Genomic DNA, 23,540 nt, shown 5'->3' on the forward strand with positions numbered 1-23,540 from the left:
CTATTTTTCTATAACATTTACCTGACAAATCTTATGTTTGTTTATTGTCACTCTTCTTCCAGAATGTAAGCACTGTGAAGTCAAGGACTTTGTTAGTTTTGATCACTATTGTATCCATGGGTTCTAAAGCACTGCCTGGCACATAGTTGGCACTCAGTAAGCTAAGAAATAATAAGACTAACATATTGGGATTGTGGCAAGGAGGTAAGTATACTCCACTTTTTCAAGGGGATTATAAAGGGCATCATTTTTAGGTGGGAGATATTGGACATAGGAGTTTGTGAACCAAGAGACAGAGAAAGATGTTACTTGGAGATATGGAGGTTATAAGTATCAGAAGATTAGAAGTTCCGGGGATGTTTTAAAGTAAAATTTTTCCCATTGCAAAATAATAGATATCTGTTGTAGGAACGTTTAGAAATACAACTAAAGCACTTTTTGCTTTACTTGGAGTGGGTGGGACTGGAATTGGGAGGAGGGGCCATGGAGAGGCTGCTTTTTTTCATTGTGCATCTTTCTGTAAGACGTGAATTTATACCATGTACACCAATTACTTAAATAATAAGAGCATGTTTGGACTTCCAGTTTCTGGTGATGGCTGGTTATGAAAACTTGAAGAAACAAAATAATGGCTTTTTTTAAGTGAAGAACTAAAAAAACATTGAACTTCCAGGCCAGTTTTTGGATAAAAGTCTATAACCAGGGAGGGAAATGGAATACTGGAACAAAAAGCTGCCTGTGCTGAGACAGCAGTTGCTGATACCACAAACACTTGTCTGCTGTTTCTGTGGCCTGGCTGAGCCAAGAAAACATGTTAAAGCACAGAGCCCACGCAAGACAGTGTGCTTGCAGGAGACCCTACCAACAGGAATCGGATAACAAGGAGCTAAAGGTAAGGAGGAGTCAGAGCTGAACCCAGTGCCCTCTTCCCAGCAGTTGTAATGAACTGTGGCTACCTTGGTGCTCTTGGAGCAGGGAGGAAAAGAAATAGAAAATACAATTTCCCTGGAAGGCCTGTGCATATCTGCTTCCCTGAAGATTAGCTTCTCAAATATACATAGCTGGTTGGGCCAAGGATTCTCAAAATCTGAATTCGGCAGAAGCACAGCAAGATCTCTCTGGAAGAGGGCTCATCTCAAGCGTCAGGAGACTCCCGTTAAATACTTATTCAAGAATAATGTGTGGCAAGCGATAAAGATTACAAGTTACCCAAGCAACTTGAATATGAATGAGAATAGAAAATCACAGAAGCCCAGCTTCTTCCACTTAGCATAATCATTTGAGTCATCCATGTTGTCATGTGTATTCAGCAGCTTGGTCCTTTTAATTGCTGAGTGGCAATCCATAGTTTACTCATCCATTTACTAGTGGAAGATTTGTGTTGGTTCCAGTTTTTAGTGACAGTGGTTAAGCTGCTGTTAACATTCACCTAGAAGTTTTTTTGTTTTGTTTTGTTTTGTTTTTGAGACAGAGTCTCGCTCTGTCGCCAGGCTGGAGTGCAGTGGTCCGATCTTGGCTCACTGCAACCTCCGCCTCCCAGGTTCAAGTGATTCTCCTGCCTCAGCCTCCCTAGTAGCTGGGATTACAGGCACATGCCACCACGCCCAGCTAATTTTTGCATTTTTAGTAGAGACTGGGTTTCACCATGTTGGCCAGGATGGTCTTGATCTCTTGACCTCATGATCCGCCTGCCTCTGTCCCGCAAAGTGCTGGGATTACAGGCGTCAGCCACTGCGCCCGGCCTCACCTAGAAGTTTTTATGTGAATCAAAGATTTTGTTTCTCTTGAGTACATTCCTAGGAGTGGGATAGCTAGTTATATGATAAATATGTATATATACTTAGTAGGAAATTGCCAAACAGGTTTGCAAACTGGTGGTGCCACTTTGCATTCCCACCAAAAATGTATGAAAATTCCAGGTGATTGGCATCCTCACCAGAATTTGATATTGTCTGCAGTTTTGATGTTTTTGCTATTTTTTTGTTTTGACTTGGGTATACGGTGCATTTCATTGTGTTTTTCATTTTCATTCTCCCAATGCAAATGATGTTGTGTATTTTTTCATATTCTTCTTTGCTACAGGTATATTTTCTTTAGTGAAGTGTCTATTCAACCCTTTGGCACATTTTTGAAAAACTGGATTGTATGTTTTCTTACTGAATCTTGAGAATTCTTTGTATATTCTTGATACAAATCCTTTATCAAAAATATGGTTTTGGCCAGGTGTGGTGGCTCACGCTTGTAATCCCAGCACTTTGGGAGGCCAAGGTGGGCAAATTGCTTGAGCCCAGGAGTTCGAGACAAGCCTGGGCAGCATGGTGAAACCCCATCTCTACAAAAAAAAAAAAAAGTACAAAAAATACAAAAAATTAGCCAGGCATGGTGGTGGCACACGCCTTTTGTCCCAGCTACCTGGGCGGTTGTGGCTGTAGTGAGCCATGATTGTGCTGCTGCACTTCAGCCTGGGAGACAGAGTGACACCCTGTCTTTAAAAAAAAAAAAATTATATATATATATATATATATGTCAAATATATATATATATATGTCAAATATATATATATGTCAAATATATATATGTCAAATATATATGTCAAATATATACATATATATGTCATATATACATATATATGTATATATATACATATATATGTCATATATATAACATATATATGTCATATATATACATATATATGTCATATATATATACATATATATGTCATATACACATATATATGTCATATATATACATATATATGTCACATATATATACATATATATGACATATATACATATATGGCATATATACATATATATGGCATATATATACATATATATGGCATATATATACATATATGTCATATATACATATATATGTCATATATATACACATATATGTCATATATATACATATATATGTCATATATATACATATATATGTCATATATACATATATATGTCATATATACATATATATGTCATATATATACACATATATATATGTCATATATATATACGACATATATATATGTCATATATATATACATATATATATATGTCATATATATATACATATATATATGACTTGCAAGTATTTTCTATTTTCTCCCAGTCTGGCTTGTTCTTTTGTTTTCTTAGCAATGTCTTTTGAAGAGCAGACATTTAAAATTTTGATGGAAGTTCAATTTATTGGGTCTTTTTCTTTTTTGAATTGTGCTTTTGGTGTCAAATCTAAGAAATGTTTGGTAAACCCAAAGTTACAAAGATCTGTCTTCTAGAAAAGAGGTGAGCAAACTTTTTCTGTAAAGGGCCAAATAGAAAATATTTTAGGCTTTACAGGTCATAGTCACTGTTGTAGCATGTAAGCAGCCATAAAATACATAAATGAATAGGTGTTCAGTAAAACTGTTTTTACAAAAACAGATAAAGATTTGGCCCATGAGCCTTAGTTTGCTAACTCTTGTTGTAGAAGATTTAGGTATTGCAGTTAAGGTATGATCCATTTCTAGTTACTTTTTTTATGTGGTGCAAGCAATGGGTGGAGAGTTTTGTTTTTGTTTTTGTGTATGTATATACACTTATTCTAGCATTATTTGTTAAAAAGACTGTTCTTTATCCACTGTATTATCTTTACACCTTGTTTAAAATCAGTTATTCATGGGTGTGGATTTATTTCTGAATTTTCTTTTCTGCATCTGTGTCTGCCCCTTCTTTATGACTATACTGTCTTAATTACTGTGGCTTTGTAGTAAGTTTTGAAATTGGGTAGTGTGAGTCCTCCAGCTTTATTTTTTTTTTCCTCAAATGTTTTAGTTTTTATAGCTCCTTTGCCCCTCCATATAAATTTTGGAATCAGCCTATTAATTACTACCAGACTTCCTACTGGGATTTTGATTGGGATTGCATTGAACCTATAGATCAATTTTGACATCTTAACAATATTGAGTCCTGTTACCAGTGAATGTAATATATCTCACCATTTATTTCAGTTTTTTGTTTGTTTGTTTTTGTTTTTTTTGAGACAGAGTCTCTCTCTGTCACCCAGGCTGGAGTGCAGTGGTGCAATCTTGGCTCACTGCAACCTCCACTTCCTGGGTTCAAGTGATTCTCCTGCCTCAGCCTCCTGAGTAGCTGGGATTACAGGCACGTGCTACCACGCCCGGATAATTTTTGTATTTTTAGTCGAGATGGGGTTTCACCATGTTGGTTGGGCTGGTCTCAAACTCCTGACCTCGTGATCTGCCAGCCTCAGCTTCCCAAAGTGCTGGGATTACAGTCGTGAGCCACCACACCCAGCCTATTTCAGTATTTTAAAGTGTCTTTCATCAGCGTTTTATGGTTTTCAATATACAAATCTTTTACATAATTTGATAGGTTTATACTTGAGTATTCATGATTTTTAGTGCTATTGTAAATTGTAAATAATACTGTTTTAAAGTTTTTAATATTCAGTTCATTGCTGTTATATGAAACTGACTGATTTTTCTATATTTCCTTTTGTATCCTGTGATCTTCCTAAACTCACTTACTTGTTCTAGTAGCTTTTTTTTTTTTTTTTGTAGATTCTCTGGAATTTTCTGCATAGACAATTATGTTGTCCACAGATCGAAACCATTTATTCCTTTCTAATCTGTACGCCTTTTCTTTTCTTTTTTTCTCTTTTTATTGTTTGCTCCTCCTTCCCTTCATGTGTCACTTTCCACCTCTGTCCCTTCTCTCCCCTTCCCTCTCTCACTCCTCCCTTATTACATTGGCTAATATGAATAGATCTCACTACTAACAGCCGAGAGCCTTGCGTGTTCTTGAACTTAAAGGGAAAGCATTCAGTCTTTTGCTAAGAGGATTTATTATGACTGGATATTGAATTTTGGCAATTTTTTTCCCCATCAAATGAAATCATATGATTTTTCTAATCAGCTGATAGGATGACTTCCTTGATTAATTTTTGAATGTTGACCCAACTTTTTATGTATTTATGGATTCAATTTGCTAAAATGTGGTTGAAGACTTTTTATATGTATGTCTGTGAAGGACATGGTCTGTTGTTTTCTTGCAGTATCTTTGGTTTTGGTGTCAGGGTAATGGAGGGCTCATTAAGAAAGTTGAGAAGTGTTCTCTCCCCTTTCATTTTCTGAAAGAGTTTGTATAGAATGCTATAATTTCCTCTGCAATCTGTTGTACTGCTTTAGCTGCATCTCTCAAATTTTGATTTGTTGGTTGAAAAGAAGCCATGTAGGAATGTGGGGTCATCTGTATTGGGAGTGCAAATGATATGGTTTGGGTCTGTGTTCCCACCCAAATCTCACCTTGAATTGTAATAATCCCCACGTGTCGTGAGAGGGACCCAGTAGGAGGTAATTCATTCATGGGGGCGAGTCTTTCCCGTGCTATTCTTGTGATAGTGAAGAAGTCTCATGAGATCTGATGGTTTTATAAAGTGGAGTTCTGTACACGCTGTCTTGCCTGCCACCATGTAAGAGGTGACTTTGCTCCTTCTTGCCTTCTGCCATTGATTGTGAGGCCTCCCCAGCCATTTGGAACTGTGAGTCCATTAAGCCTCTTTCATTTGTAAATTACCCACGCTTGGGTATGTCTTTATTAGCAGTACGAGAACAGATTAATACAGTAACATACATCACAGTAGGTATGAGCCAACTACTTGTGCCTTGAGGTGGGCAGATTTCCTGAGTGAATGTAAACAGTTCTCGCAAATCAGTCTGGAGAATCTGAAGAGAACCAACTGACCATGGCCACAAGGCTAGCCCCAGTATTTGTTTCCACTCCTAGTAAGCTGTGCTAAAATCATTTCAGCAGAAGTATTTTGTTGACTTAAGGTTAGATTCCAAGTTTTAAAAGTTCTGAAGGTTGGGGCTAACAAATGTGAGGAAGCTTCGAATATGGGAAGGGACCTGTAGAAGAAAATCAGCCATCTAAGTTATTTAAAGTAACAGCTGTTAATTTTTATCAGTGAGGTCAGTTTAGAGATAAAAACAATCCAACACCTGTAATCCCAGCACTTTGGGAGGCAGAGGCAGGCGGATCACCTTAGGTCAGAGTTTGAGACCAGCCTGGGCAACATGGCGAAACCCCATCTCTACTAAAAATACAAAAATTAGCTGGGCGTGGTGGCGGGCACCTGTAATACCAGCTACTCGGGAGGCTGAGGCAGGAGAATCACTTGAACCCAGGAGGCAAAGGTTGCAGCGAGCCGAGATTGTGCTAATGCACTCCAGCCTGGGTGACAGAGCAAGACTCTGTCTTAAAACAAACAAACAAACAATCAAAAAATCCAGCAACAATTGATTTAGATTTGTAGAGCAGGAGCTATAGACTGAGAAGAACAAACGAGAATTTGCCTTTTTTACATGGCGTAGAAGGATCATGGGAGAATCAAATTATAACAGTGAGAACATGTAAACACAATCTGCGAGGCCTTTCGGTGCTTGCTAGGGGGCACCACAGTACAATAACATAAAGATCAGCAATAAGGTGGGAAAAATAAAGAAAAGCAGAGCTATCAGAAAAGTAATCTTGTTCTTCCGTGTTGGGTAGACGCCAACTACTTTGTGTCACCATCTCTTCAATCTGAGGGTCTTGGGTTATAGCGGCCTTCATCTATCTGATCATCTCCTCCCAGAGATTTTTAAGACTCAAGAGCTTCAGATCTCCTGAAAAGGTCCATTTCATCAAGACTCAAAGGGGTTTTTATTTTCTGATATTAAATGATTGTTTAAAATTTCTCATGTGATTTCTCAGATTTTATTATTCTATGTTTAGACAACTAAAAAGACTTTTTTCATAAGTTTTAAGGTAATTAAAATTTGGAAATGCCAAAAAAAAACCTAATTATTTCGTAGCTTCCTCCCCACCCCACACCCCCCCACCCTCTGTATAAAAAATGGCTTCTGGTATGTTTGTTTATTTTCACAGAAAAGTCTGAGAAGTGTGTTATGATTATTTAAAAAAAAAAAGTCTTAGAAAAGTTGAGGTTAGCTAAATAGAGTAGTAATAATTGAAGACTGTTTTCATATATGCCATCACACCCAAGGCTATCAAGAGGCAAATCTCAGGGTTGCCTTGTGGCCATTCTAGGATACCTGAAGAACATTTAGTTGTAAACCACACATTGGCAATTTTATTATTCTCAAGTTGGAAAAGGCAAAATAAGAGTTAACAAGCAGACAAAATATGAACATAAGTAAGAAGTACTAACTGCAGAAAATTTTTACAATATCATGAACACATAGCAACAGTAAGAATGATGGTGATAAGAAATTTAATTTTTTCAAAAAAACTTTATGTTAAAATGATTGAAGAGTGTGCTAGAGATTTCACACTTTTATTTTTGAAAAGAAACTCTTTGGGGATAGAATGAGATTGGTCATTTTACAGGAAGAGTATACTAATTTGAATTTGACTGTTTTGTTCTATCATCCAAATAATGATTTGCTCTGAAGGATTTTTCTTCCATGAATGTACCTTCCTAAATATTTGTTTAATGTAATATTTAAATATGTAATAAATTTGAAGTCTTAATTCAGGTTTAAAATACAATTACCTTTATGAACATATTAAGTAAAACAATATATATTACTGAATTTACCATCTTAATCAAATTGTTTCTCTAATAAACAGATAAGCCACGTTTGTTATCTCATGAGATACATATCTCATGTATTATTTTATAACTATGTTATTATCTTAACTGTTTTGTCAGTTACTACCTCAATGAAAATAACTCATTTCCTCTAAACACAGAGAACTGGAATACATACACCAAAAACTAGTTTTTTTCTCCATTAGTATACATTTTACATCTTATAAATCTTAAGATAGTAAAAATAAATTAATATTATCCAAAGGCAATTGCACTTGGTTTCTCTTTACTCATCCTTTAAAATAAAGGGGACAAGTATAAAACCAGGTTTCCTGACCAGTTTTGTATATTTTTCTTACTTAGAAATTGTCAAAGTATCTAAACATTGTTTATTAACTCTATTTAATATTAGTCTAAACTTGTAAAGTTAACTGTGGATCTGGAAACTAAAGCTCATATTAAGTCTTTATGGTTTGCAGCATTAATAAGAATTTCACATGATTAAATCTATTTGACCCATAAACCAGTGCAAGAATTTTAGAGATTTTAAATCCTAAAAACATTAAATCCAATTCTCATACAAACTAGCACTTTGTACTAACATTTTTACATGATGATAAAGTCAATAAGACAATATAGAGCTGTTTTTTAAACTAAAATCATTTCAATTTGTCCAAAGGGATATGATCATAAATGTTACATGAACTCTTTTAATAGAATTCATTCTAATTTTGATACATGATGAAACTATGTATTCATAAACCAAAATTTTAAATCATGTCAAAAGGTTTTAAGTTTCCTGCTTTTTGTATCTTCCAACCTAGTAACCAAGACCATTATTCAAACTAACAGTTAACTTTTTTCTCCTATATTAGTTTTAGGAAGAAAAATTTAAAGAACCAGTGCCAGTAAAACTTGACAATTTTTAAAAACTCGTTTGAATTTTATCTGGACTGTATGAGTATGTAAATAACATCATAATACTTTTTTATTAATTCACATGTTTTTCTAAGAGCAGGAGACAGAGAAGTAGAAGGCAGAAAATGAGAGCCAGCTATGGGAAGGTCAGACAGGGCAAAAGCTAACCTACCACCTGAAAATGTTACAGTTCTGAAAAATTGAATCTTTTAAATACAATTGTGGGATTTATAGTATTACCCATGTCAATTTGAAGAGTTTGTTTCTGTCCTACTATTAAAGATACTTATCTTCTTGGGCTAAGTGGATCGTTGGAATTTGGATGCTACAGTACCCGTTTGGTGACCCCTTTTATAATCACTCAGAGGCTTCTGGTTCTTTCTCTTCTTGACTAGAATGGAACCATTTTCCAGTGACTTTTTAAATTCACAATATGAAGTTTTTGTATCCTAGACCCACAAAAAGATGAGCTGCTTGACAGAGGTCAAGAAGGTTGTGGAGTGGGTGGGCTGGGACAGGATTCGGGAATCCTTAGCAGTGGCACAAAGTTCTGAATACAGCCTGCGTTAGACATGGACATATTGGGAAGTATTTGGGTCTTCTTCGTATGGAGACTGCCATTTTAAGGGACTTTGAGTTAGACTGTATATTTCAGAGGCTGGAGGAGGAGGAGGGAAGACGAGAGATACAAACAGAAAAGTGTGGAACAGTATTTGGGTGGATCAGCAAGTGAGGCAGATTTTAAGTATTTCTTATTTTATTGGCCTAAATGCAGTCTTCTAGGGAAGGGTAAAAGTCTGGATTATATTTAGAAGCCTCTTCATACCAATTTTTTAAGCTGTATTTTAAAATAAATTTTATACTCATGAAGAATTGCAAAAGCCAATACCACCAATTCCTGTGTGTCTTCACCCAGGATTCCCCAGATGCCCCAATGACAAGATCTTAGGTAACCTTGATACATTATCAGTACTAAGTAATGGGCATTGATTAATGCTGTTAACTACACTGCAGACTTTATTCGAATTTTGTTACATGTCTTTTTCCAGTGTATATTTATATGAAATTTAGTTATGTTATAGATGCATGGTAACTACTGCCATAATCAGTATACAGAATATCCTATCACCACAAAGTCTCTTATGCTACAGTTTTATAATCATACCTTCACAGATGTGACCCCCAGCAACCACTGATGTGTTCTCCGTCACTATCATTTGGCCATTTCAATAGTGTTAGGTAAATGGCATCATGCAGTACATAGCCTTTTAAAATTGGCTTTTTTTTTTTTGTACTCAGCAAGTATCCTTGAGAGTCCTTCAGCTTGTCACATGCATCAGTAGTTTCTTCTTTTTTATTGCTGAGTAGTATTCCATTGTGTGGACGAACCACTGCTTATCCATTCACTTATTGTAGGACATTGTGGTTATTTCTAGCTTTCAGCTATTATAAATAAAGTTGCTATAACCATTTGTGTAGATTTTTGTATGGAAATGTGTTTTTATTTCTGTAGGATAAATACCCAGCAGACTTATGGCAAGTCTGTGTTTAACTTTATAAGAAACTGCCAAAATCTTTTTCAGAGTAGCGTTTTATATTCCCACCATCAGGATATGAGAGTTCTAGTTGTTCTACATCCTCACTAACAGCATTGTGGAGTTTTGGGCATTATTTATACATATTATTCTAATAGGTGTATAGTGGTATATCACCATGACTTTAATTTGCATTTTTTAGTAGCTACAATGTTAAACATCTGTGTTTAACATTGAATACCACATGCCATTTGAATATCCTCTTTAGTAAAGTGTCTGGTTTTGTACATTTTCTAATTGGATTTTTTGTTTTCTTACTGTTGTATTTAGAGTTATTTATATATTCTGGATATAAGGTCCTTGTCCGAACTGCGAATTGGAAATATTTTCTCCCAGTCTATACCTTGTATTTTCATCCTCTTAACGTGGCCCTTCTCAGAGCAAAAGGATTTGGTTTTGATAAAGTCTACTTTATTGATGTTTTTCTTTTATGGTCATGATTTTAGCATCATGTCTAAGAACTCCACCTAATCCTAGCCTATTAAAAGATTTATGGTTTCACTCTTCACATTTGGATCTGTGATCCATCTTGAGTTAATGTTCGTATTAGGTGTGAGGTTTAGGTTTAGGTTTGTTTTTATGACCAAGAATGTGCAGTTACTCTAACACCATTTGTTGAAAAAATCTTTTCTCCTTTGAATTGGATTTGCCCTTTTGTTAAAATCAGTTGGCCACAGTTGCATGGGTCTATTTCTGGACACACTATTCTGTTCCTTTGATCTGCATATCTGTCCCTCCACCAGGACTTCATTGCCTTAACTGCTATCACTGTATAGTATTAGAAGACTGAATATTGTGATTCCACCAGCTTTACTTTCTTTTGTGTTTTTTATGCTTTCATGTAAATTTGAAAATTTTCTCATATCTACAAAAACTCCTTCTGAGGTTTTGATGAAAGTGGTATTAAGCCTCTGGATCAACTTGAGGGGAATTGACATCTTCAATATGTTGAATCATCTTTCAATCCATAAGCACAGTTTGTTTCTGTATTGACTTAGGTCTTTTTAAGATTTTCTTCATGAGAGTTGTGTAATTTTCTCCGTACAAATCCTATGCATAGTTTGTTCAATTTAGATTGAAGTTATTTTTTTGGAGCAGCTGTATAAAGGGTTTTGTGTTTCTAATTTCAGTTTCAATACATTTGTTGCTAGTGTATAGAAATAAGTTCCATTTGTGTGTATGTGTGTGTGTGAACTTTGTATCCTGCAACCCTGCTAACTCACTTATTAGTTGTTCCCTTCCCTGTTTCCCAGAAGAGATGGTATAAAGTTACTGTTACTTATTCTTTTAATGTTTGTTACAGTTCAGCAGTGATACCATCTGGGCCTGGAGATTTCTTTATCAAAAGGTTTTAAACTGTTAATTCAATTTTTTTAGTAGTTATGAGACTATTCAAGTTATCTGTTATCTTGGGTGTTTTTATAGTTTGGAATTGGTCCATATCATCTAAATTGTCAAATTTATGTGCATAGAGTTGTTTGTTGTATTCCTTTATTATCCTGTAATGTCTGCTGGGTCTGTAATAGTATTCCTTCTTTCATTACCAATATTGATCATTTATGTCTTTCTTGCACTTTCCCCCTTCTTAACTTCCTGTCTCCCCTCCTCTCCTCTCCTCTCTCCTTCCCTCTTCTCTTCTTCTCCCCACCTTTTGTCAGCCTTGCTTGAGGTTGATCAATGTTATTGATCTTTTCAAAGAATAAACTTTTGCTTTCATTTTTCTCTATTGTTTTTCTGTTTTCAATTTCATTGACTTTTTACTCTTACGTTTATTCCTTCCTCCTACTTGCTTTGGGTTTATTTTGCTCTTCCGCTTGTAGTTTCTTGAGGTGGAAGCTTTGTTTTGGATCTGAGACCATCTTCCAATATAAGCATTTAGTGTTAAATTTATAAATTTCTCTAAAAGTGAAACTGCTTTAACTGCATCCCAAAGATTTTTATATGTTGTATTTTCATTCCCTTCAGTGTATTTTTACATTTCCTTTGAGACTTTCTCTTTGACCATTGGAGTATTTAAAAGTGGGTTGTTTAATTTCTAATTGTTTTGTGATTTTCCTGGTATCTTTCTGTTATTATTGATTTCTAGTTAGATTCATTATGAACAGATAATATATTTTTTATGATTTCAGTCCTTTTAAATTTGTGAAGGTTTGTTTTACATGACCCAGGATAGGATGTGGTCCATCTTGGTATCTATTTATTAGTTGCCAAGGCCATTTTTTCCTTGCTGAGGGGCTTGGCTTAGAGATAACTTACATCTCTTTTGCCCACATTCCAATAGTTAGAGCTAAATCATATGGCCACACCTAACTGCACAGAAGGCTGGGAAATAGATTTTAGCTGTGTGACTTAGAAGGAAATGGGAATCAAGTCTGGAAATTACATAACACTCTCTTGTTTTTGACTTTTTTAAAATTTTCTCCCTTTATTCCCATTCCCAATCCTATAGTTATTTAACTACATACCCTAGTGTATTTAATATATGTCCTTCTGATCTACCTTCTGTACATTGAATTAGATTTTTATGAATCTTTCAAAAATACCTAAGATTTCTTTTAGTTTTTTTTTACATGTTTATAAATGGTTATTGTCTGATATAGTTTGGATGTTGTATCCTCTAAACCTCATGTTGAATTGTAATTCCCTTTGTTGGAGGTAGAGCCTAATGGGAGGTGACTGGATCATGGGAGCAGAGTTCTCTTGGATGGTTTAGCATTATCCCCTTGGCGCTGTCTTTGCGGTACTTCTAGCAAGATCTGGCTGTTTAAAGGTGTGAGGCATCTTTCCCCTCGCCCTCTGTTGCTCCTGTTTTCACCATGTGACATGCCTGCTCCTGCTTTGCCTGCTGCCATGAGTAAAAGTTCCCTGACGCCTCTCCAGAAGCTAAGCAGATGCCAGCACCATGCTTCCTGTACAACCTGCAGAACTGTGAGCCAATTAAACCTCTTCTCAGGTTTTTTTTTTTTTTCTCAGTCTCAGGTATTTTTTTATAGCAGTGCAAAATCGGCCTAATATATTGTCTGTATAGCATTCTGATGATTAGTTCTTCACTGTGTATTAAGATTGACTTATGTTGCTGCATGTATGGCTAATTCATCCCTCTGACTGCTTCAGAAATATTCCACTTTATTCATATTTATTCAACATTTTACTTATCTATTCCCCCGTGTACTAAAAGTCAAAAGCATTACTAATTTAATAATGTCATATTTGTTCTTCTAATTATTTTTTGCTGCATAACAAAGCACTCCTAACTTAGTGGCTTACAATGATAACAGTCATTTATTTTATTCAAAAATCTGCAATTTGGGCTACAATTGGCAGAACAGCTCATCTTTGCTCCTTACAGTATTGGCTGGAGTTGGCGATGACTCAGCAGATCAAGGCTGGAAGACTCATTCTCGTCAGGTGGTTGACGTTGGCTGTCAGTTGGAACCTCACCTGGGGCTGTTTGCCAGAACACCTACACATGGCATGTCCATGGAGCTATTTGACTTCCTCACTGCAATGGCTGGGTTCCAAGAGCAGTTATCCCAAGAGAACAAGGCAGAAGTGCATGACTTTTAGAATCTTGTCTCACAAGTCACACAGAGTCACTTCCACCATCCCCTGTTGGTCAAGGAGGACATGAAGGTCTTCCTAGGAGCACGGGGAGAAGACAGACTTCTACCACCTGTTGGAAGGAGTGTCAGTGTTACATAGCAAGAGAAGCACATGGAATGGGATGTATTGTGATGCCCATCTTTGGAACAGACAATTTGGCATATCTGTGAAAATTAAAAGTCTGATTTGGATATAACAAATGAGACTGATTAGCAAAGATGTCTAATTATAAAAGTTAAAGTTAAATTCCAAATATACTTTTTTTTTTTGCCAAAGACCAAAGACTAGGTTATAGCCAAGGAATTCTGGCTCCCTATATCCCTAGGCTTTTTTTATTTTTATTTTTATTTCTTTTCTGAGATGGAGTCTCGCTGTGTCACCCAGGTGCAGTGGCACTGTCTCGGCTCACTGCAACCTTCACCTCCTAGGTTCATGCGATTCTCCTGTCTCAGCCTCCTGAGTAGCTGGGATTACAAGCGCACACCACCACACCTGGCTAATTTTTTGTATTTTTAGTAGAGATGGGGTTTCACTATGTTGCCCAGACTGGTCTTGAACTTCTGACCTCATGATCTGCCTGCCTTGGCCTCCCAAAGTGCTGGGATTACAGGCGTGAGACACCGTACCCAGCCCCTAGGCTTTATTTCTAAGGTTATCAATACCTTCTTCCCCTTGATCCTTATTTTTTATGTGATCAACATAATACATGAGATCAACCAGTTCAAGCAACACGATTACAAAACCTATGCACACCTTGAGTGTAATAAAGAGAAACAGAGCTTTTTTCTCTTTAGAAAATATATCACATGAGAAAACAATAGTAACTAGTTCTCAACCTCTTTATCCTTTTCTTTTGCGCCGCTGGCCAGAAGATCTCTGATGTATTGGGCATTCTGACTAGATACCTTCAGTATACACATGACTATTCTGAAAGCTTATTATCTACATCACTAGAAAATAGATCCATAACTTTTGCAGTCCTTGTGCCTTTTTCTCTGAACTTGTCTCTCCTGAGACTCTATTAAATACAATGGTGCTTGAGGAAAACACTGCCAGAATAGCTCTGCCTCTCATAAGGTGATGTAAGAAAAATGGGAAAAGTGTTCTAGCAAAGTGGTCATGAAAAGATTGTAGTGAGTTCAACCCTGTCAAGTCCTGATTTATGTATATCATTTTACCCATTTCTCTTAAAGTCCAGAAAGTTCATACCCAAATGGATGAAAATGCTGATCACTCTTCCTTTTAACTACATAAAGCTTTCACCAAGGCAGAAAATCACAGCTAAAAAATTAACATAAGATGGACCAACCCGATTTGTTTCTTTTCTTGAATTGCTAAGCCAAGACGAGATGAGTGTTGGGCCTTTGTTTTTATTTTTTAATGGGTAATTTCAAATATATATGAAAGTAGAGAGGATGGTTCAGTCATTCCTCAGTATCTGTGAGGGATTGGTCTGAGGACCCCCTGTGAATACCAAAGCCTGCCGACACTTAAGTCCCTGCTATAAAATGGCACAGTATTTGCATATAACCCATGCACATCCTCCCACATACTTTAAATCATCTCTAGATTACTTGTAGTACCTAATACAATGTAAATGCTATGTAAATAGTTGTCATACTGTGTTGTTTAAGGAATAATGACAAGAAAAAAAAATCTGTACATGCTCAGTACAGACACAACCATCATAGACCTAACTACACTTTTGATCTGATTTGAATCCGCAGATGCAGAACCCTACAGAGGGCTATGTAGTGAAATGCCCCACCCATCCCCTAACTTCAGCAATGACCAACCCATGGCCAATCTTGTCATCTGCACTCATCCCCAAATTTAATATATTTGGGGATGTCATCTGCATCCCCAAATATATTAAAATGTATTTAAAGCAAAACCTTGATATCATTTCATCCATAACTGCTTCAATGTGTATTTCAAGAAAGGGACTCTTTAAAAACATAACTACAATACCATTATCGCACATTTTAAAATTAGCAGTTGTGGAGGCAAAAGGTGTGTCTATAACTGGGGAGAATGAAGCAAAGAATATAAGTGGACATAGAACACGAAAAACAAAACAAAAGACTGAGTCTCTGAAGTCCTGAAAGGGGTTCCAGTCCACAGGTCTCCCTTTGATGTTGAGAGTCACCTCATCTCTTTGTATCATTCTAATCCCTTCTTTTTGTATTACACTGAGTTGGACTTCAGTAATTTTTTTTGAGACAGTCTTGCTCTGTCGCCCAGGCTGGAGTGCAGTGGCACGATCTCGGCTCACTGCAAGCTCTGCCTCCTGGGTTCATGCCATTCTCCTGCCTCAGCCTCCCAAGTAGCTGGGACTATAGGTGCCCGCCACCAAGCCTGGCTAATTGGACTTCAGTAATTTTAATTTGGAAGCATCATGGCTAATACTACTGCTATCTGGACAGCTTAGTGTTACTCTTCCCTCCATATTTTTTGATTTGTTTATCATACCATTCAATTTAGTTAATGCCAGTAGCTACCGTTTATCGAACACCGATCATGTACCCGGCACTCTACCACGTGTAGAGATTAAACTACACCAATTTCACAACAACCCAATGAAAAAAGTATTTCCCTATCTTGTAGATAAAGAAATGAAGGTCTAACTGGATTAGGTAATATTCCCAGGTTAAACACTTAACAAGTGTGGAACCAAAATCTCACGCAGATCTTTCTGGCCCTCAGCCTGTTCCCACTATGCCATGCTGCATCTGACAAACGTGATTTTTATTTTCTAAAAAAGCCAGTACAATTCTGTGGTGCCTGCTGTTCATCATATTGTTTCCTCATCTTCCTAGGCGCGCAACTACTCCTTCATGGCACTTAGCCTTGGTCCCGTGATTGGGTTCTAGCCTATGGAATATGAGTAGGAGACATGTCATGTTTCTTGGCTGGGCCCAATAAAACTTCCCATTTGCTGTCCTTTTTGCTCTCTCTGCTTTTGCCGTCTGGCTGATGATGCCCAAGGTGACCTTGGGAACCACACATTGGCGATGACAGACGGACATCCTGAGTCTCTGAGTGACTGTATGGGACAGAGCCGCCTGCCACCAATCTGAAACCTCTTTGGACTGTTCACATGAGCAAGAGATAAACTTCTATTGTATTTAAGCCGTTGTATATTTAGCATTCTATTTATTATTACAGCAGTTAGCCTTCCTTAACTTTTATGTACTGTTTCAATTATCTTTTACTGGGTAACAAACTACCCCCAACATTTAGCGACTTAAAACCACAGTCTTAAATTAACTCATGATTCTGTGAGTCAGAAATTTGGGCTCTTGCCCCTACTTGTTCATGCGGCTACAGTGAGCAGGTGGGAAGCTGGGGGCTAGTTGGTCCAGCATTGCCTCACTCACATGTCTGGAAATAGGTGCTGGCTGGACTGTGTGTCTCCAGCAGGCCTGCCTGAGATTTTTCACATGTTGGTGGAAGTGTTCCCAGCAGCAAGAGAGGGCAAGCCCCAATCTGCAAGTATGTCTCAAGCTCCTGCTTGCATCGTGTTTGCCGATGTGCCATTATTTAGTGAGTCACCTGCGTAGAGGGGAGTATGATTTATTGGGGACTATTTACTGCAAAAATCTGCCATATGTACAAGAGTTAGGCAAATCATTTACGTATATACAACATATTAGTCACATATTTAATACCAGAGTCCCACTCTGAGACTGTTTTCATAATCCCTGAATCAAGTTCTATTTAATAATGTAATCGTTTATTTTTTACTTTTCAGGTCTATATATGAGAATAAAATAATTACCAATACATCATACATTTAGGTTAGTAGAATTGGGAATTAAAGAAATGAACCCAGTTTCATCTTTGCCATTAACATTGAGCTCCCTTTGTTTTAAGTCAGATGCAGTTGCAGTAACCCTCCCTAGACTCCATAACCCTCTTGAGCTACTGTCATATCCTGTCCCTTCCATATCATATTTCTTTCTTTCCTTTTTTTTTTTTTTTTTTTTTGAGATGGAGTCTTGCTCTGTCACCCAGGCTGGAGTGCAATAGCGTGATCTTGGTCACTGCAACCTCTGCCTCCCAGGTTCAAGCGATTCTCCTGCCTCAGCCTCCTGAGTAGCTGGGATTACAGGCATCCACAACCACACCTGGCCAATTTTTATATTTTTAGTAGAGACGGGGTTTCACTGTGTTGGTCTTGCTGGTGTCAAGCTCCTGACCTCAGGTGATCCACGGGCCTCAGCCCCGCAAAGTGCCAGGATTACAGACATAAGCCACTGTGCCCCAGCCCACATTGTATTTCTTGAAGGATATCCTCATCTTCCAGTTATTTCTCAATCCTTTTCAGTCTGGCTTCCTTGCATTAATTTATGAAAACAGCTCTTATGAGGGTGACCCATGACCTTCCTGTCACTAAATCCATGAGCATGAAACTTTCTTACTGGTGGTTGACTTCTTCTCAACACCACGCCACCATCCGTCTGCTTTTCCTTCAACCTTTCTGGCCTTGTCTTAGTTTCCTTTGAAGACTCATCCTCCTTTACCTTGTCTTTAAGTGACAGAATTCCTCAAGACTTCGTGCTTGGTCTTTTCTCACTCTACTCTTGCCCTAGGTTGGCCTCATCTTTGACCATGTCTTCAATACTATCTATATCCTGTTGAGTCCCAAACTTGTTTCTCTACCTCAGGCCTCTGTTATGCCCCAGCCCTGTGTATCTCCAGTTGTTTATCTCACATGCACCTCAAACTCAATTTATGTCCACACCGGCCCTGTGCTTCCTCCTCATTCACCCTTCCCTCCAAACAAAATCCAGTTCTTTTCTAGTAGTTTCAAAATGACCCCACAATCCAAAAGCCCGTGAATCATTCTTGACTCCCTGTACCATCAGTGCCCCCTGTGCCATCCTTCACCCATTCCGGTGGTGCCCCTTTCTATTCTGGGAAAATCTCCCACTGTGAGTCATCTGGGTGGGTGACTGCCCCAGCTCCCACTATGAAAGACAAAGGGGCTAACATCCTCCCTCTCTCTGTCTCCTGTCAGCTAAGGCATTGCCTGTGACCTGACCTTGGTTGATTGGCTGTGTCTGCCAAGAACTTTGAATATTAAGAGTAAAACCAAGACGGTACTATTAGAAGTCATTCATGAATGTATCAGTGGAGTACTGGTGGTGTTGATCCTGCTTCCTGTATTTCTTAGCCTTCCAGAACTATCTTGGTTCCTGCCCCCCCCACCACATTTTCCATGCTGGTGTGCTAGCCCCCAGTGGATTTATCCTATAAATGCCCCCATTTGCTTAAGATACCCAGAGAAGGATGTTGTTATTTGCCACCAGAGAAGCTGTGACCAATATAGGCACTGATGTTCCAGGTAGATTCAGATGCCATCACAAAATTTTCTCCACTAATCGGCGACCTAGCCACAGAATGCACAAAACAGCTCTCAAGATCTCTGCATGCAATATCAGTGCCTATGGGTCCCTGTGGCTATTTCTTAGTGCTGCCCATGAGCCACCATCATCTCTGCCTCAACTTCTGCGAGAGCCTCCCAGCTGGTTGTCTCATAAGGTCCTCAACTTCATACTGCAGCCAAAGCCATCTTTTCGGAATGTAAACCTGTTGGTGCCACTCCTCTCTGATGAAATCTTTCAGGGGCTTCAGATTTCTGTGAAAGACCAAAATTCTTAAACTTTTTTGACCTTTACTCGCAATAAAGACAGTTTATATTGAAACTCAGTACACTTGATGTATATTTTATAAAAGTGTCACAAGACAATACTTACCCTTTATTTGATTAACAAATACTTGCATGGCAGTTACTGATTGCCAGACACTGTTCTTGCTGTGCTGTGAATAGTAACTCATCTAGTCCCTGTAAGAACCCATGCGATGCACATGTTCTTATGACCACTTTAAAGCTGAAGCCACTTGGGCACAGAGAGGTTCAGTTGCTTGTCTGAGGTTGTACAGTTAATGAGTGGCAGTCTGGGTCCAGACCCGTGCTTTTCACTGCTTCTTGGTGCTACTCTGTGGTGGACTCTGATATTCTATTCTGTTTCATTTTTTAAAAACAGAGGTTGGGCGTACACCCCATTGCTTTCACAACCTCCTAGCAGGTCACAGTATACAGTTTAAGAAACACTGGCCTGTCTTGGGGTGGGCCCTTACCTTGTATTTCCCAGCTCCACCTGTGCTGTGCTCCTCCTTGAGTTCTATGATCCAGTTTTCATGGCCAGGCTCCTCGGAGCCATGGGGCCTTGGCCCATGCTGTTCATTTACTGAACCTCACTGTCCTCCCTGCAGATTGTGTCCTTGATTTCAAGGGAGAACGGTACGCCTATGATAGGCCCTGAAAGCCCTTGCACCTTTCCTTGGGCACTCATCATGGTTGCAGTTTGGCAGTTACCCACTTGGTGGTTTGAATAAATATATCCATCTTCCCCACTAGACCGTATGTGCTGCGAGTGTAGGCTCTCTGCGTGTTTTTAGTTCACTGTTGAGAGAGGTGATCTGCCCTGAGTCCTGAGCATCCAGCACATTCTTGCTGGGTAAGCACACAAGGCGAGGCCCTGACCACTCTACTCAGACTGCTTCTCAGCAGACATTATGTTCGCAGCAGACAACCTTGAGGATAAAGTAGTAGCTCCCTCCAGTTCGGAGAGCAGACTTGCTACTGCTTGCTATAAAATGGCAGGCTCCTCAAGCTCAGTGTTCTTCAGCTGCCATGCAAAGCCACTGTATGTGTAGCATCCACCTGTGCCCCAGCACACTGTCTTCGTGGGCTACGGGGCACAGGGGCTGATGCAGACATGCTCGTGCTCATGTTGTCTACTGTTCTGTCGATCATAAAGTCCTGTGCTTCTGACCCAGGAGGCTTGCGTCCTGTGCCAGCATCCACAAAACAGTAACAGTCTAACTTACTAACTTGCAAGTAGGGTAAAAAGTCCAGACATGACACTAACCATTTCCTATCAGCCAGCACAGTACCTGGCCTAAAGCAGATGTTCAGTATTTATTTGTGAAACAAATGGATGGTTGGATAGATAGAAAGTAGATGGACTTTGAGCTCTGCTTAAGGTGTTGCAGGGATCAAACCCTTTCAGAAATGCCAACCATACCCTGGAATGATTCTGGAACTGTGGGGAAGACAATTGAGGAGAAATGAAGATTATCTTGACCTGAAGTTTCTCATCCTTTGTGTTTCTAAGTAGAGTTTTTGGATCAGCCAGCTCCTCTTCTGATATTAAACTATCTGACATGGGTAGTCCTGTGAGACAGTTGCGTTTTATTCTGAATTGCCTGAATGAGTCTGATGTCCCCAACACCTAGCGAAGCTCAGCAATGATGCATGGGGTGGGCTGATGTGGGAAGTAGGCAGCCCGGAGTGGCAGAGGCCTGGGTTCTATTTTAAAAGGGAATTCTGGGTATCACTGGGTCTCTTAGAGGGGGAGTTAGGGAGGGGGAACTGGAAAGTGAGAAAGGGAAGTTTGCACAGCAGCAAAGCCAAAGTTAGCCTCAAGTTCTCCCCAAAGGCCAGGTGGCAGTAATTCGGGACATGTTGCAGAAATTCATCTCTGAAGCAACTGGGACCAGAAGGCTTCAGGCAACAACTGTCCCTGCTAGGAGGGCCTGTTCCCCTTTCACAAACAGCACTGCTTTTCCTAATATAAGCACAGTTCTTGCACATAGATAAAACTGTCTTTAGGATAGAGTGAAAAGAGAATAAGAATGTTAAATTTATAACTATTAAGATGTATTGAAAGTTGAATAATGTGCAGAAAGCAAATCGCTCTACACAGAAAGAGAGGGTGATAGAAGGGTTCTTGGAGACAACAAGCATGAGAAGACTTATCTAGGGTTTGATGAGATTTTCAGTAAGAGCTTTATCATCCCCACAGGGGCAAAATTAATTCTTGGGAGACAAAAAGGAACTTAGTTATTCGATGGTTTGTGGCCTTCAGAGGGTTGCAGTTGTACATAAACAGAAACACAGTATATCAGTGGTATTAAAATTTCAAGATGGGAGAGAGATTGGGGAAAATATCTAAAATGTCTCCTTACAGGGGTGATAATGAGAAGCAATGGACTAGAGGATTCAAGTGGAAGAGTCTTCATCACCCGTGAGTTCTCCTGGGAAAGTGAATTGGAAACAAGCTAAGTGCATTTTCTCAGCAGAAGGAAGATCTTACACATCACCTAGTGAATATCCAGTTGGGAATCTGAAAGCAGCAGTGGGCAGGTGAGCTGTCCCCACAGCTGTTCAGCAGGTGATGAGCTTACTGGCTCCAGGAAACGTCAGTGTGCTTAGGATGCAGCTGATGGCCTTAGGCACCAGGCCAGTCCTCCCTGGACACATCAATAGGATGGTGGCAATAGAGGGTGGAAGTTAAGATTCCAGGAATTAGCCCACCCACGTCCTTCCTTGCTGTTCTATTCTGTTCTCATCTCCTTCCTTCCTACTCTCCTCTCCGGCTCACTCATTCATTTTTGCTGCAGGCAGGGGAATCAGGAGCAATGTTCATCAGTGAATGAAAGGAGTGCTGGAAAGAGAACCAAATGCTGACATCAAAGAACCTTCAATCATATGATTTTAGTGTGGAAAGCCAGATGATACACTCTAACATCTGTGAAATCAAATCAAAATGCAAATTGGTTTTTGGCTTTCCTGATCTATGTTTCTGGATATGTGTTCACTGGGACATGTGGCTTCTTGACAGAATAAGACTGAAGACAATTTCAAGTATAGACAATAGTTAGTTCCAATCCCACAGGTATTCAGCCTTGGAAATGGGTTCCAGTCTCTGGGCTTAAAAGACTGGACTTTGCTATCAGTTTGAAAATGGCAGTGTCGTAGAGGGGCTCTTAATGTTAGGAAGGATGGCCTGGCAGAGTCTCTTTTCTTCTCTTGCCCTATCCCTGATGCTCATTAAGGCAGTGCTAGAGGAAAAAGTTCTCATTAGGTAACAGGAGTTGCTACTGGGTACCGTTTAAAGTGCTTTACACCTATTAATTCATTTACTCACAACCAGACAATTCTGCAAGGGGAGCACTGTTTTATAAAACTCTTATGGATGGGGAGCTCAGGTACAGAAATGCTAAGTCATTTGTCCAAGCTCACACAGCTTCTGGTAGTACCGGGATTTGAACCCAGATCCTCAGTCTCCAGAGAACTTGCCACAATAGTGTTCTTTTAAGGTGCCCTCAGCCAACTCTTGCACTTATTGATATCTTTGAACTCATGGATGAATGGGCTTAAAATTGTTTTTAACACAATGTACTTTGGTTTGAGCCTTATTTAAATAGAACAATGTGCCAGTCACCAGACCCCATGCACGGTTGAATCCTTTGGCCACTTACATAATGGATTAATTACTGGACACATGCTGCCCTCTTGTGATGAAAGTCACTCAATTGCAACCTTCTCCACTTCTCTGGAATGTACCCAGTTACTTCCTTTGTTCCAGTCTCATGGTTGGGGGATGGAGGATCTGTAGCCAGTGACGAAGCTGTTGGCTCTGTAGAGCCAAGATGTCACCTGCCATTCTGTGTGGTGCTCCCGGGCTGTTGGCTCTGTAGAGTCAAGATGTCACTTGCCATTCTGCAGGGTGCTCCCAGCCTGTGACTCCAGCCATGAGACATGACCCCAGAGTCCTGCAACTTGTAGCAACTGAATATAGGAGAAAAGACCAGGCTTCCTGAAGAAATCCTAGGAACATTAAAGAGACCCCATCTGTGTCCTTGGGGAAAGAGCTCTATTTTGCATAACTTGCCCTAGCAGATTGGAACCAGTGATAGTGACAGAAGGCAGCCAAATGCCTAGGTAAATGGGACAGGTCCCAGGTGAAACCC

At 39.0% G+C, this 23,540-nt stretch overlaps 1 long non-coding RNA gene across 1 annotated transcript, besides 2 other annotated features; it reads left to right on the forward strand.

The window, feature by feature from the left end:
- Positions 1-741: 741 nt before the first annotated feature.
- On the forward strand, positions 742-13,912 carry LINC01176 (long intergenic non-protein coding RNA 1176). Its single transcript, NR_108081.1, has 3 exons — positions 742-892; positions 12,769-12,879; positions 13,459-13,912. It is a non-coding gene; the product is annotated as a long intergenic non-protein coding RNA 1176 (long non-coding RNA).
- Positions 924-1,542: an enhancer, noted in NCBI's record as "NANOG-H3K27ac hESC enhancer chr7:30430683-30431301 (GRCh37/hg19 assembly coordinates)". NCBI's record gives its function as "activates a minimal SCP1, AML or CMV promoter by ChIP-STARR-seq in naive H9 embryonic stem cells {active_cell/tissue: H9 hESC(naive)}" and the evidence as "EXISTENCE:reporter gene assay evidence [ECO:0000049][PMID:30033119]".
- Positions 23,249-23,318: an enhancer, noted in NCBI's record as "active region_25811". NCBI's record gives its function as "activates an Ori minimal core promoter by ATAC-STARR-seq in GM12878 lymphoblastoid cells {active_cell/tissue: GM12878}" and the evidence as "EXISTENCE:reporter gene assay evidence [ECO:0000049][PMID:35858748]".

This window comes from Homo sapiens, chromosome 7 (genome assembly GCF_000001405.40).
Source record: "Homo sapiens chromosome 7, GRCh38.p14 Primary Assembly".
NCBI lineage: Eukaryota > Metazoa > Chordata > Mammalia > Primates > Hominidae > Homo > Homo sapiens.